Genomic DNA, 12,081 nt, shown 5'->3' with positions numbered 1-12,081 from the left:
TCAGTAAGGTGGTCTCTGAAAGACTCAACCAAAAGGATTCTGTGGGGACGCAGCAGTGGATAAGGTACAGTATTAATAGATAAACCATCCCAAACTTATTTCTTATTAAATTTCTTATTCAATGGAATACTAAACTGGATAACTGCAACTTTACTCTCAGGGTGAAGATTAAGCCTCAAGGTGAGCTTGTGCCATCTGCTATGTTAAGCAGTCTAAGGAATAATTCCTTCTGGTAGGTCATAATGATCTCACTGCAAGCTTCTGAAGACTTGAAAATATAGCACTCAAAGAGCTGTAAACTGGGTTTATTTTGCTAGTGCTATTTCAAGTAACTGTAAAGAAAGAAAATAACCCTCTAAATGAGTGCCAGGATATGAAAGACGTGGTTTACCCACAGTAGAGGCCCTAATGGGCTTATCTCATCTCCTCTTTTCAGTACTGTCCTTTTCTTTCTTCTTTAGATATGATGTGCTGTCATTTTCTCTCTTAATTTCTTGGTTTGTCCTGTTCTTACTCATCAATCTGTCTTTGATTTGCTCTCATGAGACCCATCCTCCCTGTGCCACCTCCTTTGTTCCTCCTCTTTTCTTTCTTCTTTTCCTTATTCTGTGACTGGACTGACCATTGCATTTTTAAGAAAATAATTGCAATATTCGTTGAATAACATTAATAAATATTGCTAAATTAATAAATAATAATAAATAATAAATAATAACATTAATAAATAACAATAATAAACTTAATAAATAACATTAATAAATAATAAATAAGTTAATTAGGAAATAACTTTAATCTTTATAGATTTCTCAATCATTACACTACCAGAAGAGATTAAACCACACTTACTTATTTTTTTCTTTTTAGAGCATTACTGGCTTTTGATTGGGGAAAGTGGAAGGTGCCTATCTATCTTCCTGACGATGGCAAAGTTTGCTGTCAACATTTTTGGGTTTTGTGCTGAGAAAAGGTGTGGGAGGAGGTTAGGAAAGGTTAAATTGGTGGCAATGGAAACCAAGGTGTGGGTAGGAAGAGATATGAGGCTGTGGGAACTGTGAGAAGTTTATTATAATCTGCATCTGAGATGAAAAGGATCTGTCTAAACTATAGTAGTGATGTTAGAAGTGGAAGGTAAATGACAGATGGGAGAAAACAGAGCAGTATGCATAGGACTTTTGATTTATTGAATAGTGGTTGAGTGAATGAAGAAGCAATGGCAATAATCACCAAGAGCATTCCTGACAAACTGCTGGTCTAATGTCTGCATGGTACTCAGTTGCCTCAAAATCAAAGTCCATGGCACCCAAATTTACCAGCCCTGTGTTCTGGGGTAAATAATTTTCTGGGCTTTCGCTACCCCACTTATAATGCCACTTGCCCTGTCTACATCAGTGAATTGTGAAGCTCTGATAAGACACTGACAATAGTAAAATGTTCTATGAATATTATATGATAGGACCATACCAATGGTTCCTCAACCTCATTACCACTAGAGACACGTTTTAAAGGTGGAGTAATAACATGGAAAGGTCATGATTTGGGGGCCATGATACTGACTTTGCTGTATACTAGCTTCGTAAGTTCAAGTTAATCAACTAGTCTCTCTAAGTCTCAGTCTTGTCATCTGTAAAATAGGGATAATGGCATCATCTTTCATTTTGCAGATTTAGAGATACATTTGTGAAAATGCCTGGCACTTAATAAATGTTTTTTTCTGTACTTTTATGTTTTTTTCTGCATGTGCATCCCATAGCAATCCATACAGGAAAGATTTTTTTGCCAAAAAAAACAAACTGAACTAAAGTAAACATGAATTACATTTTCTTTTTTTAAATTAAACCTACTTCTTTCTACCTGTAACAATTGATAGATTATCTAAAGAGCAGATAGGCATTTAGCATGGGCTATTAGATTTTTCTGAAATGATATTCAAAATATTGCTCTTTCTTTAAGATAAATTAAAGTTAAAATAAAATTTCTGTACTTTATTTAAATCAGAATAGAACTTCTTATTACACTGATCAATTAAGGCAGCAGTTAAAAATATTAGAGCAGCTTATACTTATAGGGTATTATATAAATTTAAGGTAGAATCAAGACTTTCAATACCTCTTGATAAAATAATTTCTAATTTTTCGTGTTTTCAAACATTTTCAGTAAAAACACAGATGTTGTTATGGATTCTACAGAATTGTTAGGATGATAAAGCACAATGATACACAAAGGTAGCAGAAGCTGGGAAGGGAGGAAAGATGGGGGATATGGGGGAAGATTAGTTAAAGGACACAAAATTACAGCTAGATAAGAGGAGCAAGCTCTGGTTTTCTATACCACTGTAGGGTGACTCTAGTTAACAATAATACATTACATAGCTTCAGCTAGCTACAAGGATGTTGATAATTCCCAACACAAAGAAATGATACATGTTTGACATGATGGACATGCTAATTATGCTGATCTGACCACTATATTTTATATGTGTCTAAACATCATTATGTACCCTATGAATATGCATAATTATTTGTCAATTTGAAAAACAAAATAAACCAAAAACAAATGGCAGAAACTAGAAGAAATTTTAACAACATACAGTAAAAGGTAAAATACCTATTATTCTCACAGCTACTATAAATCAGTAAGAAAATCAATTTGTATATAGACAATTCAAAGAAATACAAAGATCCAATAAACCTATGCAAAGGTCTTTTTAAAAGAATGTACAGAGGAGCCAGTACCATGCCTGGCACAGAGTATAACCTCACAAGACACATTATCACCTTCACCTCTCACATGCTTTGCCATTTAACTATCAAAGACCTTTCCTGGTAGATTATTTTCAGCTTCCTCAGTTTGGTCTTTTGACTGTCTTCCAGCTTCTTTCCAAACCGAAAGATTTATCCCCCAGTTTCTTCCTCTTTCATCTACCAGGAGGAAAATTTCAAGGGGGAAAGAAAACCAGCCCAGGGTTAGGGTGTCCCATCTCTCAGTTTACTGCTCTCTGCTTTACTTACAAGAGTATTCACAATATTTCCGTTTGCTCTCTGTATCCACACAAAAAAATACAAACTGTTTCTTGAACTGGGGAGATTAAGATCCTTTTGCTCCCTTCTCTATTTCTACTTCATGGCAATTTAGTTTCTCTGGGGAAGAATGATCTAGGATATTCTCTCCCTCCTGTTTTGGGGCAGAGTGGCTTGTTGGACTTAATTTTCCCTATGTTTACTAGTTATTCATTTAACAGCCTTGCCCGACAGGTTTCTTTGAAAAAACAGTTTCAAACACTGAGATTAAAGTTACAAAATATAAGCTTTTAAAAGCAAAACAAAACAAAAAACCAAGAAGGAAATAAATTAGATTTCAATTCTTCACCATGAAATGTCAAAAGTTTAATCACCTGATGGTACAGGGCTTGGTGAAAGAAACGGCGCAGCGGAAAAAACTCACATAATTGTGACTTTTGCCCTTTAAAAACATTAAATCAAGGAAGACAAACCGACAGATGCAGCCAACTTTGAAACCTAATCATATGAAAAAACCAAACATAAAATAAATGTGTATATTATCATTGTTTTAGATTCCCATTTTTTCTGTCTAGAAAGTTGTTCCTGATGTTGATCTTCCCGGGAAAAAGAATTTTCAAGTAAATTAGTACTCACCATCATCTTTGTCAGGAACGATTGTAACTTGAGCCCCTGGGAACTCTGATCCGATTCTTCCCCCCATGGGCATGCTCAGAAGGACATGGAAGGTTTCCTCCTCCTCGTACAAAGAGTCATCAATTATGACTATCCGACACAGTTTCTCCCGTTCATCTTTGTCAAAGCGGACAACACTGGTGTGGTCCTCAGGCCTGGATATGTAATCAGAGTAAGACAACACGGAAGTCGGCACAGTTCCAGTTGCTGTTCCTGGAAGCAGAGAGAATTCAAAAGATTTTTATGTAGAACATAAGACAAAGATATTTCCAGACACAATTATTTTCATACACAGCATTTTAATGGTCAGTTAGTAGACATGAACACCCCTAGAACTGCAATAGCAACTACGTACTGTTCTAGTATCATGAGTCAACTTGAGAGTGACCTCAAACCTATACACCTATAAGGAATATTACATTTCAAGTGTTCACTCCTGACTTTCCTGTCAATGGACTTTAGATCAACACAATGTTACAAATTAATAGCCCCTACTATTCTAAAGCTTACTATGCACAGGCAAAGTGCCAAGTGCTTCAAATACTTGTCTCCTTAATCCTCTCAACCACTCCACCTGGCTTTACACATTTGGTAACTGAGGTTTTCAGAAGTTGAACCACTTGGTCTGGACCCCGGAGTCCAAGGCTGGTCCTGAAGTCAGCTTTTTTTTTGAGACTGAGTTTCGCTCTGTTGCCCAGGCCGGAATGCAATGGCGTGATCTTGGCTCGCTGCAACCTCCGCCTCCTGGGTTCAAGCAACTCTTCTGCCTCAGCCTCCTGAGTAGCTGAGATTACAGGCGCGTGCGCGCCACCATGCCCAGTTAATTTTTGTATTTTTAGTAGAGGCAGGGTTTCACCATGTTGATCAGACTGGTCGTGAACTCCTGATCTCGTGATCCACCCGCCTCGGCCTCCCAAAGTGCTGGGATTACAGGCATGAGCCACTGAGCCCGGCCTCTGAAGTCGGCTTTTAATCACTCTTCTGTACTGCCTTTCAAATCATATACCTACGAATGAAAATTTTAACAAAAGTCTACTCTGATATCAGCATATATAACTTTTGATTTTGCATTTTTAGAAAATCTACTTATTTCCTAGAAAGGTGTTTAGTATATTAGTGAATATTATGTATTAATTTTAATTTTTTATTATATAAAATCACCTTCCATAGGATATTTGCTCATGAGCAAAACAAACATTTTGATATTTCTTTGAAATGAGTTGCAAACTGGTTTTAAATTAGTTTCTTTTCCTTGGGCACGCATCACTTTGCCTCTTTTTTTTTTTTTTTTTTTTTATATAGTAACCCATTTCTACTTGAGCAGGCTGGGTTGGGCTTTAGTTCCTTACAATCCAAAAAGCCTTGAGTATTGCAGTAAGTGACCAAGTGAAATCAGAAAGAGGACTCGTCAAAGGTGAAATCCTGAAGAAAGACTTCTAAATAAATCCTTTTCTGTATCTATGGAAAATTAATAAAGTATACCCCTCATGGTAAAATGTTATGGCTCCAATATGTTAAAAAGGCTTATTTATATCTTTTGGGGGTTATCTTAGTTTTTCGGCAAATCGAGCTACCTTGTTGGGTATAACAGACCACCATCAACTCCTGGCTCACATCTCCGCTCCTCCTGATGGGAATGAACAGCTCACCAACATCTTCTTCAACGGAGTATTTGGACTGGGGAATAAACACAGTTGGCTCTAGAGAGAAAACACAATTGCAAGCATTATTTTTGTCTGAGCTTCTTACCTCTGAAACAATCATACAGAATTAAAATTTCTCTAATGATTGATTTTTCCCCCTTGAATATTCTTTAGAATAACATAGTGGGAGGAAAAGGAGGAAGGAGAGGGGAAAAGAAGTGGGTATAAAGGGAATAGGCTCTGGGCCAGTGAATTCTGAAATCTAAAAACAAAACCCAACATGGCTTATATCTCTAGTAATTGCTTTCTTCTAAATAAATAAGTCATGCTGACACAGTTTTTATAAATCTAACTTTGTTCTCTTGGCACACATTAACACCTTCCAATGGAGCACCACTTGAGAGGTGGAAATGACCTCAAAAGTCATCTTGTCCCATCTCCCACTTTGCAGATGAGGAAACTCAGGCTCGCATAGTTGAACCTATTTGTCAATGGCTGGCCAAGTCAGGATTAGAACTCAGATCTTGAAATGTCTGTTCTGCTGTTCTTTTCATCCAAAGTGAGTTCTTTTTGGACAATTCATGATTAAAGTTACAATAATACATTGTTCAACATTTTAAAAAATAGCTGTTCCCTTAGAATTGATAAATCTATTTATCAGCTATAAGGAATATTTCCGTGGCTCCCTTTCACTCCTGACAGAATAACATATACAATATTACCAATGATTCTTTTTTAACACAGTCAAAGGGCATGTTAAATAATAAAAATGGCAAAAGTAAATTGTTAAAAAAAAATGCAGTTATCATGTAAAACAATAACAACCATTTAGTACAATGGTTTGACATTGTAAACCCCAAACAGATACTCTGGGATTTGACTGGGAGTTTGTTTCACAGACAGTCTCACACCCACACAGAAAACACTTCATGATTATTTTTAAAACAGTTAACCTTATGACTTAAAAATTATAAAAGACTGCTGGAACAGCAGATACAGCCTTGGAGGTCCATGCTCCACCCTGCTTCACCCTGCGCTGTGCCCCAGGAGCTGACAAATGGGAACCACGCCTAATGTTTCCCTTACATTCTGGCTCCTGGTTGGGTCGGCCAATGGGGAATACAGGAAGGAACTTGGAGGGCAAAAGCAGAGTGGGCCAGGCGTTTATTCCCTTGGTTTCCCTCAGGGTTTCCAGAGCTGGCTGCACACCCTCCACAAAAGGTTAGAGTGCCTGTGGAAGGCCTAGGGCCTAGCTCACTCTCTGGGCTCAGCTAGCCTCTCCTGTCCTGTGCCTAGAGGTGGTGATGGGGCTGCTCTCATTAGCCTCGAAGCATTTTACCATGCCTAGGTATTAACAGATCTTTGCCCCCTCCTTTCTAAAATAGTCACGTGATTCAATTCTTTTTAAATTACTCATTTTCAGTGTGCTATTTGTTTTCTCCTGGAGTTATGACTGACATACTAATTTTTAAAAAGCCCCCATTTTAAGAAATCTGTGAATATAAGATTTTGTAACTAATTATTTATTTATCAAATATGGATTGGGTGACATCGACTTGCCAGATACTGTGCAGGGGATACAGAAGTAACAAAATCCTTGGCCTCATAGGGTTTTTATTATAGTTGAGGGGTGGGGAGGAGGAAGAAAATATGTATACAAGAAAATAAGTAGTATATTAGGGACATATGGATAAAATAAAATATGCTGAGGGTGACAGGGAAAGCTGTGGCTGGACAGGGTGTGAGTAGAGGGGCCTAAGATACACAGGAAAGTCGAAAAAAAAAGTCTCTGGTAGAATTAGAATCTCATTTGAGCTGAGATTGGAAGGTAGTAATAAAATGTCCCATATGAACAACTTAAGAGAATTCCAGGTAAATGGATGGACAAGTGAAAAAGGCCTTGGGGCAGGTTGTGCCAAGTGTGTACAAGGAATAGCCAGGAGGCCAGTGTGCTTGAAGCAAATTGGACAAGAAGGAGAGCCTAAGATATGAGGGCTAGAGAGGTGGTGAAGGGGTGGGTGGTGGGCAGGTCACATGAGCCCTTCAGGACTATTGGAAGACCTTTGGTTTTTACTCAGAGTAAGATATAGAAATAAACAAAGACCAGATGGGATGAGAACAAGCAAGTGCTGTTTATTCAGAGCTTGCTTTAGCAATGGAATCAGCCACTATCACCTGTGTTTTGATAAAGACTCAAAGACAGGCAGAGAAGCAGGAATGCCTAATAGTGGAAAAAAGGGAAGGCTTCAGGTGTGACCTCATTGGAGGCTGTTGGCATGGGGAAGCTCTAGTGGATTAACTAGAAGTGGGGTATCCTATGGTTAGAGGTGCATATATGGTTCTGTCTGGTTGTTCCAAAATTCAAAGTGGAGACAAAAATTAGGAAAGCCATCATCAGATCCTGACCACTGGAGGCTGATTGCCAAAAAAGTTGTCTTTGGCTTTCCGGTTGCTGTAGGTTGTGCTGCAGAGTTGTATTTTAATGTGTGGTCTGGCTACTGGCTTTTTACATTCAATCTCTCAATATGAAATCATTAGAAGGCTTTGGAGATGGGGGGAAGGTTTCCATAATCTGACATACTTTAAGAACATAAGTTGTGACTGCTGTAAGATAAAGAGACACCAGGTCTAAGAGTTGAAGTAAAGAGCCTGATCAGGAGATTTTGCAACCATGCAGGCAAGCGATCATAGAAGCTTGGACCAGGCAGTGGCAGTGGAGGTGGAATGACAGGGCTGCATGCCGGAATATAAAGGTAGAGCTATTTGAGTTTTCTGACGGACCAGGTGTGGTATGCGCAAGAAACAGAAGAATAAAGGATGACTCCAAGTTTTGCTGTCTTGACCAACTGGAAAGATGAAATTGCTAGGTATACAGGTGAGGAAGACTTCAGGAGAATCAGATTTAGGAGTGGAAATCCACAGTTCCATTTTAAACATATTAAAATTGAGGTTCCTTTTAAATATCCAAGCTGACATGTCAAATTAGCCATTTGGGTATAGAATCATGGATGTCAGTGGAGAGGTCCGAATGGAAATCTAAACTGAACATGTTGATGGTATGTAGAGCCACGAGTCAAAATAAAATCACACAGGGGAGGATTATAGATAAAGAAGAGAATGGATCTAGGGATTCACCATGGGGCACTTAGAAGTCAGGGAGATAAAGAAAACCGAGCAAATGAGGCTGAGAAAAAGTCCTAGGGATGAAGACAACCAGAGGAGTGTGGGCCCCGGAGGCCAGTTACAAAAAGCATATCAAGGAAAAGGGAGTGATCAGTTGTTTCAAAAGCTGCTAACATGTCACATGAGTGAAGAACTGAGAGGTGATCATCAGATTTAGCAAATGGATGTCACCAAAAGTTGGCTATTTTCACCAGAACTGTTCCAGTGAAGTAGAGGGTGAATAAAGCCTGAATAAGTAGGTTTAAGAGAGTGTGTGAGGAGAGGAGCAGGTGACACCGGGCATAGGCATTTATTTCAAGAAGTTTTGCTTTAAATGGAAACAAGTGACATGGAGAGAAATGTCTTTGCTGGTTTTTACTTTTTATTTTTTTACTTGTGTATCAGCAATCTTGGTGGCTAGGGACATCCTCACCATCACTCAGGCAGCAAAAATACGAAACGCTTCACAGATTTGCTTGGCATCCTTGCACAGGGGCCGTGCTAACTCCAATTTCAGTATGTGACCTGCCCAAGTGAGTACTTTTTTTTTTTAATATTCTTTTTTTAAAAAATTTATTTCAAGTTCTGGGATACAAGTGCAGAACGTGTAGGTTTGTTACATAGGTATACATGGGCGATGGTGGTTTGCTGCACCTATCAACCTGTCATCTAGGTTTTAAGCCCTGCATGCATTAGGTATTTGTCCTAATGCTCTCCCTCCCCTTTCCCTCCACCCCCCGACAAGCCCCAGTGTGTGTTGTTCCCCTCCCTGTGTCCCTGTGTTCTCATTGTCTAACTCCCACTTATGAGTGAGAACATGCAGTGTCTGGTTTTCTGTTCCTGTGTTAGTTTGCTGAGAATGCCGGTTTATTTTTAAGATGAGTTTTAGTAAAAGCAAGAATTACACCTATTATTATGAAGTAAGGTTTTCACCAAATATAAAATTTCAATGTAGAAATTATCATAAGACTTGAGTACAAATAATACACCAAGTATCACTGAAAATTCAAGTCAAATATTCAATTAGTTTTAGTGAGTTTGTTTTCATTAACTTATGGAAATGTGCTCCGGTATCACCTAGATTTTGGCAGTCTTCAGGTCATGGACTCTGTGGCATTAGTATGAAATATTACAGAAAGTTTGATTTATTAGAGTTTTTGTTAACTTTTTTTTTAAGTTCAGGGTACAAGTACAGGTTTGCTACATAGATAAATGTGTGCCACGATGGCTTGCTGCACAGATTATTTCATCACCCAGGTGTTAAGCCTAGTACTCATTGGTTATTTTTCCTGATCTTCTTCCTCCGCCCACCCTCCACCTTCTGAAATGCCCAGTGTGTGTTGTTTCCCGCTATGTGTCCATCTATTCTCATCCTTTAGGGTTTGTTATGGGCTGAATGTTTGTGTTCGTCCTGTATTATATGTTGAAGCCCTAATCCCCAAGGCAGTGGTATTAGGAGATGCAGCCTTTGGGAGGTACTTTGGTGAGGTCATGAGGGTGGGGCCCTCAGGATGGGATTAGTGTCCTTATAAGAAGAAGAAGACAGAGGTATTTTTCTCTCCATGAGCATGCACCAAGGAAACGTCTTTTGAAGACTCAGAGAGAAGGTAGCCATTTCCAAGCCAGAAAGAGGCCCCTCACCGGGAACCAAATCTACTGGCACCCCAGTCTTGGATTCTCCAGCCTCCAGAACTGTGAGAAAGAAATGTCTGTTGTTTAAGCCACCCCAGTCTGTGGCATTTTGTTATAGCAGCCTGAGCTGACTAAGACAGGGTTGATTATTCATAATTCATTCTATACTTCTAATCTATACTGGCCAGGGTTTTCTTTTCAAATAAGTTATTCAGAAGTGGTCCATGTATGGGATTTTAATTTAATAATCTTTTTAAAGATTTAAAGCTCAAGCACCTGAGTTTTGATTCTTCCTAGGCCTTATGACACATGCAGGTTTGATTAAACAAGCCAGGACTTCTTGCCAGTGCCAGTAAGTTTGAATTAGGAATAAAAAAGAAAACCGAGTGTCTGGGCTGTGCCCTTCGCTCTGGAATTCACTCCTACAGTCAATCTGACAGAGTAAATAGGCCCAGTATCAAGTTTAGGTCTTCTGTTGACCTAACTTCTAACAGAAATATGTAGGCTGTGGGAAAAACTGGAAAAGGGTATCACAGAGACAAAGAAAGGCTTCCCTGATAGATTTTTCTGTTAACATTCCTTTTCAACTTCACGTTATAAATACAATGGAAGTGTCTATGCAGGCTGCTTCAAGTAAGCATAGAGCTTTAAGTGCAAAATTCCTAAAAGTGGCATTTGTAGACTACCCTTAAAAATTCTTAGCTAGTAGGCATGGAGTTCTCATTATTTGCTAAGCTCTATTCTAAACACTTCACATGATTGGCTAGTTTTATCCTTGCAACAACCTTTGAGGTAAGAATTATTATGACTCACTTTACCTCTGAGGCACACGTATGTTAAGTGAGCAGCTGAAAGTTAGGTTGGTAGGTGGTGATGCTGGGGTTTCAACCCAGAAACTCCATGTCAGAGCCCGCCCAGGCTCGTAACCACTACACATTACTGCCTAAGAGAAAACTGCTCAGGTTAGCCAGGAGTGGGAGCATCACTTACACCAGAGAAAAACAAAAGGCTAAATTGAGATGATAAAAGAGCAACACGAAGTACTGCTAAGGCAGAGAGATGGCCATTGCAGTAGAATCAGAAAAAACGAAGTTAGAAACAAATATTTTGAGAATTCTTTTTAAAATCCAGTATTTTCATAGAAATTATATATATATGATTGTATACATACACAATTTAAAAAGTATGTATACTTTTATAATATATGTACAATATGCATATTAATAAATCTTCACAAGTATTATGAAAAAGTATATAAAGTATATAGTATATTAGTATGTATATGGAATATAATATATGTATATCATAATATAAAAGTACACATGTCAAATCCCATTAACACATTGGATTGGAACTGCTGCTGTCTTTGTGAAGGTGTTCACTGAGAGACAGTTAAGGGCTACATTATAGAAATAGTCAACTCTCATAGAAAAAAAATGACTGCAGGGTCGTGCTCTCAAATGTTAACAATGGTTACTCTCAAGTGGTAAGGCTGCAAATGACTTTTTGAAATTAAGTGAATAGACCTCTGGGTTTTTTTTTTTTCTTTTTAGCAGTTTTAGATTTAGAGACAAATGAATAGAAAGTGCATATGGTTCCCATATATCCCTTCACTCCCTCTCATTTTCCACCATTATTAACATCTTGTATTCGTTTTTGACAATGAACATGTGTTACTTTTATACTTCCAGATTGATTTAATTACCCTTTATTTTGAAAGAAAGAGTAAAGTGAATGCATTCTTTATTAGTCCATGTGACTATATTGTAATGAGTACTGCAATTTGTAACTGCAGTTCTTATTTTTGGGTTTTGACTGTGCTACAACAGGCAAAATTGATTTCTCTGTTCTCAGACATAAAGTAGTTGTAGCTTCATTTGAAAGAGAATGTACATTTTATACCTTCTCTCAATTATATTCCACAGAGGATAAAAAATAAACAGACTCTGCTA

At 38.2% G+C, this 12,081-nt stretch overlaps 1 protein-coding gene and 1 pseudogene across 2 annotated transcripts in view; both read right to left on the bottom strand.

Annotated features, from left to right (window-relative positions):
* FREM2 (FRAS1 related extracellular matrix 2) overlaps nucleotides 1–12,081 on the bottom strand; it is a 200,055-nt gene that overhangs the window by 98,670 nt on the left and 89,304 nt on the right. For both annotated transcript variants that reach the window (XR_941571.3, NM_207361.6), the window contains exons 5-6: nucleotides 5,267–5,392; nucleotides 3,654–3,905 (exon numbers count right to left, since the gene is read on the bottom strand). Coding sequence is in view for 1 of the 2 variants with exons in the window: in NM_207361.6 (NP_997244.4) it covers nucleotides 3,654–3,905; nucleotides 5,267–5,392 (378 nt within the window). In the remaining variant the exon portion in view is untranslated. The remainder of the gene's footprint in view (nucleotides 1–3,653; nucleotides 3,906–5,266; nucleotides 5,393–12,081) is intronic.
* On the bottom strand, nucleotides 8,946–9,038 carry RNU6-56P (RNA, U6 small nuclear 56, pseudogene; annotated as a pseudogene).

The sequence above is a fragment of the Homo sapiens genome, chromosome 13, assembly GCF_000001405.40.
Source record: "Homo sapiens chromosome 13, GRCh38.p14 Primary Assembly".
Taxonomy (NCBI): Eukaryota; Metazoa; Chordata; class Mammalia; order Primates; family Hominidae; genus Homo; species Homo sapiens.
Note: the sequence above shows the minus strand (reverse complement) of the source record. Positions and strands in the feature narration are given on the sequence as shown.